The sequence below is a fragment of the Homo sapiens genome, chromosome 12 (assembly GCF_000001405.40).
Source record: "Homo sapiens chromosome 12, GRCh38.p14 Primary Assembly".
Classification (NCBI taxonomy): Eukaryota; Metazoa; Chordata; class Mammalia; order Primates; family Hominidae; genus Homo; species Homo sapiens.
In genome coordinates, this window is record NC_000012.12 from 26,440,962 (window position 1) to 26,458,025 (window position 17,064).

The 17,064-nt window shown below is 37.3% G+C and overlaps 1 protein-coding gene across 6 annotated transcripts in view; it reads right to left on the bottom strand.

Annotated features, from left to right (window-relative positions):
• The window catches only part of ITPR2 (inositol 1,4,5-trisphosphate receptor type 2), a 497,843-nt gene that overhangs the window by 105,610 nt on the left and 375,169 nt on the right, over nucleotides 1-17,064 (bottom strand). For all 6 annotated transcript variants that reach the window (XR_001748686.3, NM_001414174.1, NM_001414175.1 and 3 more), the window contains one exon: nucleotides 2,582-2,689. Coding sequence is in view for 5 of the 6 variants with exons in the window: in NM_001414174.1 (NP_001401103.1) it covers nucleotides 2,582-2,689 (108 nt within the window). In the remaining variant the exon portion in view is untranslated. The remainder of the gene's footprint in view (nucleotides 1-2,581; nucleotides 2,690-17,064) is intronic.

The window sequence follows — 17,064 nt, forward strand, 5'->3', positions numbered from 1 at the left end:
CAACAAATGCTTATTCAGTCTTTAGGTGAGGCATGTTGGAGAAAAAAACAACATGAACCCCAACAGGTAAGAGCTTGTAGTTTAGTAATCATGATGGCTCTTCAGATGTTAGAGTCAAGCTATCATGTTGAGGGAGAAAAAAATGTTCTGAATGTAAACATTAAAATGGGCTAATGTTAACTCTTCATTTTAAAAAAAGTTTCTAATTACTAGACATTCAAAATCGGATCAGTTTCTTCCTGATGTAGTGAGAACTCTATCGCAGGAAGAATTTAAAGCAGAAGCAGATCATTAGAGGGCAATTCCTTCTTAGATGGGTGATTAGACACAAGGCTCTTCCTATTTCCCAGGGTCTTTAAGTCTATAACTTGCAGACAAACTATTATTCTCAATAACATGAATTGTTGTGGTTATGTTCAAGGCACAGGGTTCAGTTTTGGAAATACAAAGATGACCAAGACCAGTCCCTGCCTCAAGTAAAGGAGAAGTGACATATATGAAGCTAACAATATTCCAATGTGATAAATATTAAACTAACAGAATAACCAAACTGCTGTGGAAGCATACACAGTGAGATGAAATTAATGAAAGCCTGGAGAAGGGAGGAAGGACTCTCTGAGTAGGTCATGTGAGCTGGCTTCAGATGAGTGCAAGAGCTGATCAACGAGTTCATCAGCCTGGACCACTCCTTTGAAACCTGGACTTGTATATCCAACTCCATGGATGACTCAAAGTCACCTCAAATTCAATCTATCCAATAATGAACAAATAATCTTCTTCTACCTTTTAGCTGCCAAACTTCACTCTCTCCTAGCATTCTCATACATGGCACCAACTTCTGCTCATTTATTCAAACCAGTAGCCCAGAGGACATCCTTTTCCACACCATTTTCCTAACATGTGCAATTCAACTTCAACTTCAAAGCCCTGTCAGTATGTATATGTATATGTGTGTATTTATAATATATATATAACTATATAGAGATCTATATGTATGTATGTATCTGCATCTATGTATCTATGTATTTTCCAGTCCAGCCATCTTCGATATCACCTCTCACTTTTGCCATTATAATATCTTCCTATCTGTTCTATGTGTTTTCTATCCCACTCTCTTTTCCAGTCCTGTCTCCAAACGGCAACCAGATTGATCTTTTGAAAATAGTCATCTCCTTCCCATGTTTTTTAATACCTTCCCTTCACTTACTTTCTCCTTTCTGAAATCCCCATCCTGAAGGAGAAACTCGTACTCAATCTTTAATACATTCTTAAAGGCAACCTTCTCAGTGAAATCTATCCTGAAATCGCTCAGGCACCACTAATTATTATTTTCTCTACATTTCCTTGGCCCTTTGTTTATATACTTATAACATAGAATTATCTTCTATATGTGTGAATTGGTAGAGAGTAAGTGCTCAGTAAACATGTACTGAATGTGTGTATTTATAGCTAAATCTCTCCTCACTACTGGAATCAATAAAACAACATCAAACAACAGCTCCCATCTCTCACCCGCATTAACCAAACTTCTCCCATGGCCTGCTCACTCTATTTGCTATTCCCTGGTCTCTTCTGATCTCCTAGCTTTGTACTTTGACTTCTGGGATCTTCCTCAAGACCTTCATGGTTTGATGACCTATTTCTATTTGTATAGAAATGTTTTTGCTGCTAGTCCAGCTCATGGGTTCCACTAAGTCAAGTCCAACACCAAAGCTATGGTACTATTAATGTTTACAAATGTGAGCAAGGTATCCGTTTCTGTGACACAAAGGTTTGACAATAGTAAACAATACAGTGTAGGGGTTATATATCTTGAGAGTGAATACAGTGATGCCCATCATGCACTCTGCTGAAAAGTAAAAAATATCTGCCAAAATGAATGAATGTATAAATGTAAATTATAGGAGTGACAAGCGTCAACTACTCTGCTCACTTCTGCCTGATTAGCTCTGCCAGCCAGTGTCAAAATGATACCATAGCTAGTAAATGACAGCCAGATGGGTCTCAGAACACATAATGGTAAGTCCATTTTGACCCACACCTCCTGGACTGCCACCAACCATTAAATAATGTCTCATTTATGAGGGTGGTGGAGGGGTCAAGTGCTGCATACTGAAAATGGAAACTGTTAAACCTTTCCAAGGCTATGCTATCAATATGAAAACTGTATTAGTTTCTTTCATGTTTACTCCACTTGTGAATTGCTGGAGATCTCTATTTTAATAAGCTTTCCACAATTTTAAAAAAGAAACCTTTTCCTGAATGATGGCTTCTATTATAATAATCCCATCTCTCAAACGCTATTGCTCTGCAATGATTGATTGCTTCTACAGTTAAAAAACATCTATTAATTACAAAAAAAAATTTTACATATAGTTTTAGTAAAAAAAGACAACTTTGAAAGATGTACACCTCAGTTTCCTATAAATCACTCCTCACTCATCCTTTTACTATACATTTTTCAGTTTAAACCACTCACTTCTGCATCATTGCTCTAGAAAAAAATATGAAAATGGTCTAAAATAGGAAGTAAGCATAACTTTTCACAGTTGGTCTCTTTCAATAAATAATAGATGGTTACCTCAATCTGTGCAGTGTGGTTGGCATAATACTTTAAGGCTTCATCTCCTTCATCTGGATCCGATCCTGGTTTGAGCATCTGCTGCAACAGTTTATTGTGGCGGGCCAACTAGAGTAGGGAAAAAATAAAGGTTTTAGGTCTTCTTTTCCCCTTTCCTAGGGTCAAACTTTGCAATATCTTTGTCTACTTGTACACATAGCTTCAGAGTCCTAGGGTTAAGGACAATTAGTTACACTTCAGGAAAGCATGTCTGTATTTGAAAGGCAGAGATAATGAAATCACAATGATCAGCCATTAATATTTGTTGATTAAATTTATGTCTTCAATAAATGTACGATTGTACCAGGAAGAAGAAATGTTCCCAGTGATACATAATTGACACTGTCTATAGTAAATTTAAACTACATGCAAATAAAAACAAAGTGATCAACAGTGCAATAAATCAGTGAGTGGTGGGAACAATATAAATGTGTGTTTTTCCTATACACACATAAATAGGTATCTGTATTTCAGAAGAGTTTCTCTTATAGCATGTAATCTAAGCTCTACATTAGTAGTTGGTATAAAGTCCTATGTTGCTTCATGTTTGTAAGCCAAAATGAGTGCTTTCTGGGTATAGATCTTGATTTTATTGTCATTGAAATCAGGCATTTAAAAAAGCAAAAATTTCACCATAAATTATTTTAAACTGCTTGTAGTGGAAGTGATCTTTCTCTCCCATTTGAATGTCTACAGCATGTGTTGGCTAGTTCTCTCACTTTGTAGATTAGTAATACATGTTGCCTTCAGATGTCTCTTTTATGGTTGTCTCGAGCAATTCCTGAAACCTTGCAATATCTTTCACTTATCAAATATCTTATTAATGCTTAAATTCCCTGAGGGCTTCTACTAACAGAGACTCTACCACAGAACTCTTTCACTCCCAGCACAATGCCTGCCTCCAACTCCATGCCAGGCACTAATTCTAAGCACTTCAAGTACATGATCTTATTTGAATCTACTAAGAAATCCAGTGGTAAGCACTCTTATTATTGCCATTGACAGATGAGGAAACTGAAGCACAGAGAGTGTAAGGAACTTGTTTGTGATAACATAGCTAGAAAATGGTAGAGCCAGTATTTTATCGACATTACGGAGCAATAAGTTTTCCTATTATTCATGAGATCTTAATACCAATTATTATTATAATCATGGAGATGAATTTTAAATAATTCAGAAACTAGAAGACCAAATGAACATTATCCTTATAAGTGATAATTTGGTAAGTTAAATGTTCATTACATTGATGCTGCTCTAGAGCAAATCATTTTGAAAACTGTTATTTCAGAATTGGTTTTCTGGGTCACTAATCAATCACTCAAGAAAACTATTTCCTATTTTCTATTTACATTTTTTTAACTAAATTTGAATTATACACATTTTTATTACAAACCACAGTCATGAAACTTGTTGTGACTTACAGGGGTTTCTAAAAATCTCAATCAGTTTGAAAGCATAAAATTACTGTAATCTTTAGGTACCTTAGCATGTTTTAAGAAGTGGCCAGTTCTTGAAGGCAAAACTGGCATGATTTGTTTGCTGACTGGATCTGGGGCATGAAAGAAAGAGAATTAAGGATGATTCCAAAGTTATTGACCTGAGCGACTAATAGTTTAGAAACGTCATTTACTAAGAAAAAATGTAGGAGGAGTACATTTAGCAGGATAAAATCAGGACTTTGGTTTTGGACATATGAAGCTTTAGACGAGGAGCGGGCTGTTGGATTTGTCTGTCAGGAATTCTGGGCAGAGGTCAGTGCTGGAGCTGTGCATGGAGGGGTCGTCAGTATATGACTGATATTTAAAATCATGAGCCTTAGTGAGATCACCTAAAAGTGAGCTTAAACAGAGAAAAGAGCTCCATGGAACTCCAATATAGGTTAGGAAGAGAAAAGACATCAGCAAATTAGACTGAGAAAGTTGGTTAAGAAAGGTAGGAACAAAACCCCACGCAGCCAGGTGTCTTGCAGCCAAGTGAAGAAATAATTTCAAGAAGGAGGGATTGATTATCTGCATCAAATGTAGCAGGTAAGTCCAATCAAATGAGGACAGAGAAATGTCATTTGGTTTAGCAACTCAGAAATTACCAAAAAGCTTCACAGCAGCCGTTTTAGGAAGTGGTGGATACCAAAGCTTAATTGTAGTGAGTTTAAAAAAGAATGGGAGGTGAGGAAGTATAAACAAGGAGTGTGAGTAGAGGCAGCTCTTGAGGACTGCAGGTGTAAGGGAGACCCAAGAAATAGATGGCAGCTAGACAAAAGGGCAGGGATAAAGGTGGATTTTTTAAATACGGAAAATAGAACATAGTGTTTGTTTGGTTTTGAAAGGGACTATTCACTAGAGCAACATCTTGACTAGGTGAGAGTGGAATGATCTAGAACATTTGTAGAGGGGTTTGCCTTAGATAGGAAAAAATTCACCCTTAGAGACAGCAGGGAATATGGGCACAGATTCAGGAGGTTGGGTGGTTGTGATGATGGGAACACTGACAAGTTCTTTTCTGGTTACTTTTTTTCTCAGTGAAGTAGGAAGCTGATAATGAGGACGAGAGAGGAGGTGTTGGATAACTGATGAAAAGCAGCTATAAAATAGCTAGGGAAAGTACACGGACTTGGGAAATATAGTAGTACTGCCAGGAAGCCTTAAGGGTCTCCCTTATGTTATGGTCAAAGGGAGGCCAGGAACCATATTTGTGTGTTTTTCTCCAGCAGTATTCAGCTGTATGGGTATACGCATGGAGTAGAGAGTTGTAAATAATGAGATACGTAGTTTTGTTGGGTAAGGTCAACAACACACACAAAAGAGATACTTAAATACTGGAACTCTTTAAATCTTACATAACTGATAGTCTCCCAAGGTGAGACAGTAATTTGAATAATTTCTCCTAAGTTTATTTATTAAAAAGCTTTTACTTCTTTATGATCACTTTATAGGGTCAAAAATTGCTACAGTTATTTTAAGAAACCAATAATGTTATTTAATGTGACATAATTAATAGTGAACAAACCTATACAAATCATTTTCAGTTAATATATACAGCTTAACAGAAACACAGAAACATTTGCAGGCCTTTCTCCCTCCCATTGACTTAATGACATGATTCTGCATTTGTCTAGTTTTACTGCAGAGAAGAGGCATTCTAAAAGGGACTCAAAAAAAAAAAAAAAAACACCCACCTAGGCCTCCCTTCACATGTTCAAAGTATTAGAACAATATTTTCATTCATGATTAGATAAGCCATCTATACATATCTTTGAAAATTTGAAATATATAATTGAAAAAGAACAATAAAAACAAAACAGAGATAACTTCACTGTTTTTTTCTACCTGGAAATCTTTCATATTCTTTGTAATAGAGGGTCTTGACTCATGAGGCTTATTTTCTCCTCCCTGTTCTGTGTTCTGATAGTGCCCTGCACATATCTATATTACGAAATTTCTCATATTGTATCTGAGTAACTATTATTTCTCTCCAGTGGTCTGTGACATCCTCAAATAAAGGGCCTGGTCTTACTCATCTCTTTGTTCTCAGCACTAAAAACAGAATTTGATACATAAAATAGACTCAATAAATATTTGTTGAAATCAATGAAGAAATGGGCTAGTTAATAACATATATTTATGCGTTTAAGTGGACAACAACTCTTAAGCCTCAATGAATTATCTCTCTGTTTCATCCTCTGTAAAGAAGAAGGGCAAATAAATCTGATTAGAAATCAGATGATGGTACAAATTCCAGTATTTGTAGAAAGAAAATATTTTAATATTTTTTCTTGTTTGATAGTTATTTATGTACTCATATGTATTCTGATAGATTGTAAGCTATTAGGAGGAAGGAAATAACCATTTTTAGTGGCATCCTTTATTATCCATTTCACATTTATCTTTTTACCGCTGAGATTTTAATGTTCACTTCAGTATGGGTCCAAGTAAGGACAGAGTAAAAAAAAAAATCAAGAAATATGCTTTGATGACATTCAATAATAATTATTTCTTCGTATTTTTCATCTGTGTTTTTTTAATGTGAGTTTCACTTTTATTGGGTACCCAGTCAATGTTGAAAGGAACACTGGATGATAAAGCAAGGATAGCATTCCTATTATATAGACAAAATGCAAAAGGATTAAGGAATATCTCAATGATTGTGAAATGCATAAAAATGACTGATATCAATACAGTGCTTTCCTGGTCCAAATTAACAGTTTACTAAAAGCACAATACAATGTCTTAGAGACCAATTAACATATACTTAATAGTTTTTAAAGGGTTTAGTCCCCTATAAATGCAATCTGATTTAAAATATTCTATAGAATGAATGCACTGCCAACCAAAGATATTCGATTGTCTTAGTGATGGACTCTAGCCACATTTATCTACTCCACAGTTTTATATGCCATGTACCCTTTTACATGACTTTTTTTTAAAAAAAAAAAAACCCAGCATCCAAAGCAGCAATCACACCATTTAGTATTATGTGCTTTGGAAACCAAAGGTAAAAATACCTGGTAAGTTTCTGCACAAGTATGGCACATCTGTGGTGAGTTGTAACAATAAGAAATCTAATTTAGATACTAATTAAAAACTGAAAAACTGCTAATGAAGATATTCAAGGACAGCCGTCTTACGATATCCAACTTTACTATTGACAAAGATGCTCCCAACAGGACTTGAAATCAGCTGATGTCACTATACAAACGTGTTCCAGAAAACTAACCAACAATCAATATTAATGATAATGAGAGTCTGAATTTGGGCAACTGCATTGAATGTTAAAAGGGGGAAATGCCATGGGGGGGAAATCTCTGGGTCTTAGAAATACTTGTATTCCACAACAATATGAGCCAAAATAGCAGCAATTGTTTTATATATGGTGTGCAAATGATGCCTACCCAGTTAGTATGCAGTTTCAAAAGAATTTTAGCAACAAGGAACACTTATTAGGTCATTATTGCAAATAGAAAAACTAGGCCTGAGATAATTTATTACATATCATAATATTAAAGTCTCATAACAATGCAATGAATACATGGGTAGATACAGTGCAAGCATACAGATTAGTGAGGAGGGGATCCAAAGCATTGGTGGATAGTCAGTCTTAAGAAAGAATAAAGACATCCCCACAGGAAAGACTACCAAGAGATTCATTATATGTTGAAGACAAAAGGAAAATCATGCATATCATTATCAATCATGACACACTTGTAATTTAAATACAGATGCATCACTAAATAGGAATAAGAACATGTATATGTATATATTCATAAAATATAGACAGCACATAAGTGCAAACCTTATACATAAACATATATAACCTGCAGCAGGGTCTTTGAGCAACACCATGCATTTTTTGAAACCAAGATTAGGGAATAAAGATGACAGAGTTGGGCTTTTCATTTTTAGTGGCACCCTTTATTATCCATTTCACATTTATCTTCTTATCACTAGGATTTTAATCTTCATTTCAGTTTGAGTCCAAGTAAGGATGGAGAAAAAAAAATCAAGAAACTATATTTCAATGACATTCAATAATAATTATTCCCTAGTACTTTTCATCTGTATTTTTTTAATGTGAGTTCCAATTTTATTAATTGGTAAAACTGTGACATAGCAATTGGCTTTCCCAAGATCGCAAAGTGAGCTGGAGCCTGAAGTCAGAATAACTGCCTTGTATATTTAGGCAATTGTATTACAATACAATGCCTTCATGTCAAACACTACTCCTATTTGAAGCAGAGAGAAATCAGCAGAAGGGGGCAAAAACTAAGGCTTTACGTATTCTAATGTGCAAAATATGGAAGCCTCCTATTTTCAAAACATCTACTTTTTTCTCTGATTCTGTGACCCTGCAAAGTGCAAAGCACGGTTTTAGCTACTGTGGGATGATAGAGATGAGCAAGACTTATTTTCTTCTTTCAAGCAACCTACTTTCTAGTTGGAGGAATTAAAACAATGATAGACATGTAATTAATACAAGGAAAAATGAGGGCAGAATTACAAGGAATCACATTAGATTTGGTGGCACTAGGAAAGGAACCATGTAAGAAGTGCATCTGATAAAGGTTTTAAAGAATGGATGAAATGTCCAGGTAGAAAGGAGGAAGAAAGGATGGCATGAGGAAGTGATTCTGCATAGAGAGAGGGATCCCATGAGCCAAGCCATGGAGGATGTGCAATGAGAAGAGGACTAGAAGGTAATTGGGAGCCACACTAAATGCCAGTGTGAGGAGTTCAAATACAGAATACTGTGGTGGGCTGAATTGTGTCCAAATCAAGCCAAAAAGATATACATGTTCAAATCTTATCTCCTGGTACCTATGAATGTGATCTTATTCAGAAACAGGAATTTGCAGATGTGATGAAGTTAAATGAGGTCACACTGGATTAGGGTGGGCCTTAATCCTATGACTAGAGTCCGTACAAGAACAGGGAAATACGGGCACAATCAGACAGACAAGGAGAATGCCATGTAATGACACAGGAGAGACTGGGTGATATAAGCCAACATATGCCAAGAACTGCTGACAAACACCAGACACTGAAAAGAGGCAAGGAAGGATCCTCCTCGAGGGCCTTCAGAGAGAGCATGGCCCTGCCAACACCTTGGCTTAGGACTTTCGGCTTCCAGAACCGTGGGACAAGAAATGTCTGTCATTGTGAACTTCCAAGTTGTGGACATTTGTTATGGCAGCCCTAGGAAGTTAACACAAATCCACCAAGGAACTTTTCTCTTGACTGTGGCAAGATAAACTCAGATTCTATTCATCTCTTTCTTCCCTTCTCTTAAAAAAGGAATTTGGGGATAAGACAGGATCCATTTGGGCATGGTGCCATCTGTCCAGGGTTCCTTGCAGTACTGTGAGGTCCTTCATAAGAACACAGACCAAAGAAGAAATAACTGGTCTTCCCGAATACTGATGCCAGAATTACTACCCTGTTAGTAGGGTCAGAGTCCTGTGAGAAAGAAGAAAAGGCTTTCCCACATGAGACTCAACTGTGTGGTCTCAGCCAGAAAATACTCACTACGGCAGGTGAATATTTGGTACTTAGACCACTTTAGAAGAAGATCAGCTTCAGGAATTCCTAGTAGGGAGAAGCACATTTTCCCCACTTTAGTCAGCAGAACTGAGGCAGCCAGAACCACCAGGAATATCCAGCATAAGTCTCAAGCTAAACAATCCAGAAGACACGTGAAGGGCTGTACGCACTCTTTTCTCAAAGAGGAGATAGTTGTTTCCAGAGGGGTTGAGAACCTTAGAGTGGAGGGGGAGGGGAAAGTCAGGAGGGAAAATGGGAAAGAGTATGAGATGGGCCATGGGAAGCAGATGAAAGCCCTTATACCCCACCAAATAGTACAGTGGAATGGATTAGTTAGAAAAGCTAACAAATCTGTGTTTCTTGGAAAGTTAATTCTTGTCCTTCTTTCTTTCCAAGACACCCTTGTTCCCTAGTCAAACAGAGTTGTCCATATTATCTTGAGCAGATTTTGGTATATAACTGGAATGGAAAAAGAAAGAAGCAATGTTCATGTTTCTGAACTTTCAAAATAGGTTTTTGAGAATCTAAAGAGAAAGCCTTAAAGAAAGCACAACCAAGAGGAAAATGTGGCAGTGGACAGAAAGGAGAACAGGGGTGATCATTCCAAAGAATACAGACAAACCTGGGGAAGAGACAACACAGACTCTTGAGTACCCTGCAAGACAGCTCTGGAGGATTCATGGACAACCAGACCAAAGGACCACAGACCTAAGGGAAATCATGAGATCTCAAGACAGCTTTCTCTCATATCACACACACACACACACACACACACACACACACACACACACACGGAAAGTAAGGAACTGATGCCTTCCCTCCCCAGCAGTACTGAAGGAGCGACCCTAGAATGCCACCAGCATCACTCTGCACTATACAAACTTCACCCAAGGAGTTCTAAAAATATTGTAAGTTATATTTATCTATTATCTTTTTAAAAATCCACTATGGTTCTTAGAGATCAGTTTATTATTTCCTTTATAATGGTAGCCAAACTAAGACAAAGATAGGTACAAAATAACAAGAAATTTGCCAGAATTAAAAAATGAAACAAACTTCTCCTAATTTCAAATGATCTAGACTCCTACTCATTAGGGTCTGTCTTAAACTATAGTAAAATTGATAAAAGACCCTACTGATTATAATAAACAAATGATTCATGACAGCTCAACCCTTGAAGCAGGGCAAAGCAGGAGAGAAAAAAAGGAAGAAAACAGCCCACAAAAAATGCACTTTAAAATGACTTAGGGCAGTTTTTAGTAAGCATGCTATCTTTGTACTACGATTTTATCATCAAGCATTGCAAAGTGTTGTGACGATTGATGAAGCTAACTTTCCTACAGACTGCTAACACTCATCCTAATAGAATGCTTCTCAAAATGGGGTTTCTGGGACAGCTATATAGCATCGCCTGGAAGCATGTTAGAAATGCAAGTTCTCTGGCCCGACCTCAAGCCTCCCAAATCAGAAACTATGAAGGAGTACACCCCTCTCCCCCTGCACCCCACCATCTGTTTTAACAAGCCCTCCAAGTGATTTCAATCCTGCCAACATTTGTAAACCACTGTTCTAATAGATAGTAGATGTTATCACCATAAGCAATTTGGATTCCCTTCTGAAAATCCACCAGTTTTTTTTTTTAAACCAAAATTAAACATAAAAGAATGAAGTGTTTTTAAAGAATTTTTTTTTCCTTTAAAAGCATACAAGAGAAATGTTAACATGTAGATACTCTTAATAACAGTACATTTACTGAACACATTTTCAAAAAAATGAGATTAGGATCAGAAATATAAAATATGCTCCACTTAATTTTAAACAATTGGTTATTTGTCACTCATAGCTTCTAATTTCTAGGCTCATGAATTTCTATACTGCTTTGCATGGAGTGTGTCACCCATAATGCATGTGTTGGAAATTTTGTCCCCAGTGTGGTGGTGTTGGGAGGTAGGGCCTTTGGGAAGTGATTAGGTCATTAAGAGGGATTAATGCTGCTCCTGAGGGGACTGGGTTAATTTTCAGAGGAAGTGAGTGCATTCTCACTCTCAAGGAACCGGATTTGGTATCTTGAGAGCAGGTTGTTATGCAGGAAGGCTGCTTCGGGCTTTGCCATGGTAGCACACGCCTGCTTCCTTTTCCTTTCTCCACCATGTGATGATGCAGCACGATGCCCTCACCAGAAGGCGACCAAATGCAGATGCCTAATCTTGGACTTCCCAGCCACTAGATAAATCTCTTGTCTTTATTAATTACCCAGTCTCGGGTACTCTCTTACAGCAACAGAAAATAGACTAAGACATGTACTAAAAGAGTAAAAACTACTTTAATCCCAGGAGGTTTGTATAATTATATGTAATATATAACAAATATATTAGTTTATGAATTAATTTATATGTTTATTTTCATGAAAAGAGATAAAAAATTATCTTCTAAAACAAGCTTTTTCCCTACAATTATTTAAGACAAATTGATTCTTTAGTTCCATTTTCAACTAAAACAGGTTATACCTTCTCCTACTTCTACTTCAATACTTCAGAAGATACTTAAGATTTTATAAAGAATTCATTACTTTAACGGAAAATGCTTGCTATTTTGTATTTTTCATGTGAAATTTACTGAGGTATAATCTTAATTGGTTTTGCTATCCATGTAAGAATATACATCAATATTTTCTGAGCGACTAAAATGAAATGAAACTAAATACTATCTATGTAGATCATCTTATCTGAAATCAGTATTTCACCAAAAATATTCTAAAGTAATCATTATTGTAGTGTCCTAGTCAAAAGAGTTAAAACATTTCAGGGTGAGGAAGCAAGAAAAGAAACTAATTCTACATGTGTAGTGGGGTTATCTAAAACACAGATAGACATTAATAAGAAAAACATAGAAACTGATTTCTGGGAAACCCTGAAATGATGTACACTAGGAGTTTTTGCTTTCGTTATATAGAACTGATGGAAAACAGACATCTCTTTGACCTTATTTCTTTTTGATGTAACTAAACGCAAGTCTTTGAAATTTCTGGGTCTCACTATTCCCACACAAGAAATAATATGTTTTCCTCAGATCCAGAGATGACCAGGTAATATTACTTGAGTTGCTTCTTCCAGCATCCAGAAATGAATTTGCTGGATATTTCCCATCCACGTCCCCTCCCACATATTTCAAGTGTGGTTTGGGAAAAACTAGCAGAACAGAAGAATCTTTCTCCATGATAATTCAGATAATATGCGAGTATGAAATATTCTTCACTTGATTTTAATATGTCCTCCATCTAGAATGTAGTTTCCAGAAGGACAGGGATTTTGTTTTGTTTACTGTTGTATTCATCATCTAGAACAGTGTCTGGCACACAAGAGTTGCTTAATAAATATTTTTTGGATGGATAGATGGATGGGTGAATGGATGGATGGATGGATGGATGGACGGATGGATGGATGGATGGCATACAGTATTTTTTGCTTATTTATTAGTTCAATTTTAATGGCATATGTGTTTAATTTTCTGAAATAAATTGAGTTTTTAGAAAATGATGAATTACAATATTATATGTAAATATGAGAAATGTGGTGTTTTTTGTTTGTTTGCTTGTTTGTTTGTTTTTTGAGACAGAGTCTTGCTCTGTCACCAAGGTGGAGTGCAGTGGCGCAATCTCAGCTGATGGCAACCTCTGCCTCCCGGGTTCAAGTGAGTCTCCTGCCTCAGCCTCCTGAGTAGCTGAGACTACAAGCACGCACCACCATGACCAGCTAATTTTTTGTATTTTTAGTAGAGATGGGGTTTCACCATATTGGCCAGGATGGTCTCGAGATCTCTTGACCTTGTGATCTGCCCACCTCGGCCTCCCAAAGTGCTGGGATTACAGGCGTAAGCCACCATGCCGGGCCAGAAATGTTTTAATTCCTAATCATTTATATACAACAAGAAAAATGGGAATGATAGCAACACTTTTCTTTTAAAAGCATTCTGATTCTTTCACTGTTTCTGGTGATTTTTTTTTTAAGGCAAACATCAAAAGGTGAAGAAAGTCATCTTTTTGAGATGTTGGACCATGTTAAAATAGTACCTGTGGTTGACTGGGAAAACTTAGAGAGCTCTTGTTCTCAAAGTAATTGCTGCGGGGGTGGGGGTGGCTTATGATGGACACTGAGAAATGACTTCTGGCTTTATCACTGACCTTTTATGGTAGCACGTTCAAGTCGTTTGACCTTTTTATGTCTAATTTACCTAACTGTGAAATAACAACATCTGCAATAATATACCAAAGAGAATTACTGCAGGATCTGTGCTCCTAATGCTCCTTAAGTTCCTGAACCAATGAGGCTGAGTGAAGAGCACAATCTTACTATTCTACTTTTCTCTATGATATACCTATTCCAAGAATGAGTCAATTGCTTTTCTGTTTCTCATAGTCTTGACAAAGCCACTTTAAAGTGGGTTAATTAGAGGCTTGAAATTATAATGATGAGTTCCGCAACAGTTCTCACACTGCCAGTGTGTGCTCAGGAATCCAATCTGAAGTGCGCAAATTAGCCAGATGTAAAATCGGGGGTGGAATATGAAGAGTTGAGAAGAAGCACTACGAGATAATTTTCAGGAACTTTAAGCTCGATTGCTTGAAAGCATTTCAACTTCAGGTTTCTTCAGCTTTCTATTTCTGAGTTACATCAGACTAAGAAATATGCCATTGCTGTCTCTCTGTTTAACTGTCTAATCAACAGCTGCTAAAAAAAAAAAAAAAAAAAAAAAAAAGGTCAGCTTTTGTGAGATAGAGTGGTTCTTAAAAGTGAGAGAATTACTGCTCAAATGAACTGTGTTTCAAAGGCAAACCTAATAAAGAAGGAAATGAGGTGGCAAGGTGAATTTCAAGTCTAAGTAGGGATTCAGATCTGTTGAATTAAACTGAAAAGAGACAAAGAACTTTGAGCAGATATATTTTGTTACTTGTTCATTCTGTGACATCCAACACCCTTTTAAATGTTATCTAGTCATTCAGAAGTTAAATAACCCAGGTTGCAAATGAAAAGACAAAGAGAGGGCATGAAAAGTAAGGAGAGGAAGGGAAGAAAGAGAAAATTTAAAGAAAAACTCATTTGGAAAAACTTATTGTCCTTTCTTAAGAAATATATAACCTACTGGTAAAGAAGCCATTTAAAGATCAAGGTATTGAACATAAACATATAGGTATATGAACAAAGTTACTGCCTGCAATGTAAGTGTCTTGGGGATTATATAATGAGGTCATGAATTATCTATAAGTAAAACAATGTTATTAATAGTTTCAGATACATGAAGTGCTTTATATGCAATATTAACATAACATAAAGACCCACTTCTCTTATTCAATACTAAGACAGAATTCTCCTATGACCTAAGCCATCATGAGCTAAATACAATAATTAATATATGCCTTGTATGTTCATTCTTTCAGAGGCATTTGAACCAGAGTAACTCCATCTTAAACGGGGGCTGGATAAAATGAGACTGAGATCTACTGGGCTACATTCCCAGGAGATTAGGCATTCTTAGTCACAGGATGAGATAGGAGGTTGGCACAAGGTACAGGTCACAAAGACCTTGCTGATAAAACAGGCTGCAGTAAAGAAGCTGGCCAAAACCCACCAAAACCAAGATGGCAATGAAAGTGACCTCTGGTTGTCCTTACTGCTCATTATACACTAATTATATTGCATTGGCATGCTTAAAGACACTCCTAGCAGCGCCATGACAGTTTACACATGCCAGGGCAATGTCAGGAACTTACCCTATGTGGTCTAAAAAGGGGAGGAACCTTCACTTCCAGGAATTGCCCAGCCCTTTTCTAGAAAACTCACAAATAATCCACCCTTTGTTTAGCATATAATCAAGAAATAACCATAAAAACAGCCAACCAGCTGCCCTCGGTGCTGCTCTGTTTATGGAGTAGCCATTCTTTATTCCATTACTTTCTTAATAAACTTGCTTCCACTTTACTCTATGGACTTGCCCCAAATTCTTTCTTGCATGAGGTCCAAGAACCCTCTAATGGGGTCTGGATCAGGACCCCTTTCTAGTAACAATTTTTTTTCTTTTAAGACAGAGTCTCACTCTGTCACCCAGGCTGGAGTGCAATGGCATGATCTCCGCTCACTGCAACCTCCACCACCCGGGTTCAAGCGATTCTCTTGCCTCAGCCTCTCGAGTAGCTGGGATTACAGGCACTTGCCATCACGCCCGGCTAATTTTTGTATTTTTTACTAGAGACAGGGTTTCACCTTGTTGGCCAGGCTGGTCTCAAACTCCTGACATCATGATCTGCCTGCCTCGGCCTCCCAAAGTGCTGGGATTACAGGTGCGAGCCACCATCCCAGCCTCTAGTAACAATTCTATAATTGTTAATGAACCTCTGATGTATACCAAATAATGCTCTAGGCTTTGGGGTTATAATAGTGAACAAAACAGACCAAAGCTCCTGCCCTCCTAGAGCTGACTTTCTGTTGGTGGAGGAGACATAAACAAATATATCATCTATCAAAATGTGCAAGTGCTAAGGAGAAAATAAAGCGGAGGACGGAAGCAATGAGCACTGGGGGATGGAGGTTGCCATTTTAAATCAAATGGTTAGAGACCATTTTAACAGAAACTTTTAGATACAAAGCAGGATTATGAAACAGAAACTTATAGACACAAAGTAGGTTCTTGACTCCAAGGCACAGCCAGGAGGCCAGTGTGGCTTGAGCAGAATAAGTAAAGACGAAAGTGGCCAGAGAGAGGGGAGATGGGGAAGAAGGCCAGGTCATATTGGGAGACTTGTGAAGCCAACAGGAGAGTTGACTTTTGCTGTGAAACTGGAAGTATTAGAAGGTGTTGAGCAGAGAGGTGACATAATCTGTGTTATATTTTTAAGGGTTCATTGTTGCTACTGTGTTAGAGAACACTCTACAGAACGCGTGGATGAACAGAAGCACGAAGAGTCAGAAGCCTACTGCAAATAATCCAGGTGAAAGATGGTGCTGGTTTGGACCAGGTGGTATTGAAGGATGTGGGCAGATTCTGTAACATACGGTGCAATGAAGAGGGCAGTCACAGACGTGGCTAGAGGGTGGGACTGTACAGTGGTTAGCATCACGGACTCTGGACAGACCTGGGTTCAACTGCATTATATCCTCCTTGTTAACTGAACAGCCACAGGCAAATCACTTAGCTTCTCTAAGCTTCACTTTCTCCTTCTGCAAGTGAGGCTCCTAAGGGTACTTTATGAATATTTACCTCAGAGAGTTACTGTGATATTTAGATGAGACACAGCACCGATACAAAGTAAGTACGTATTGTGCTCAATAAATATGAACTAAAATAACAGAAAAAAATAAGAGTAACCAGGAGCATGCTCACTAAGGGTCACCTGAGCATGTTGGTGAGCACGTACAT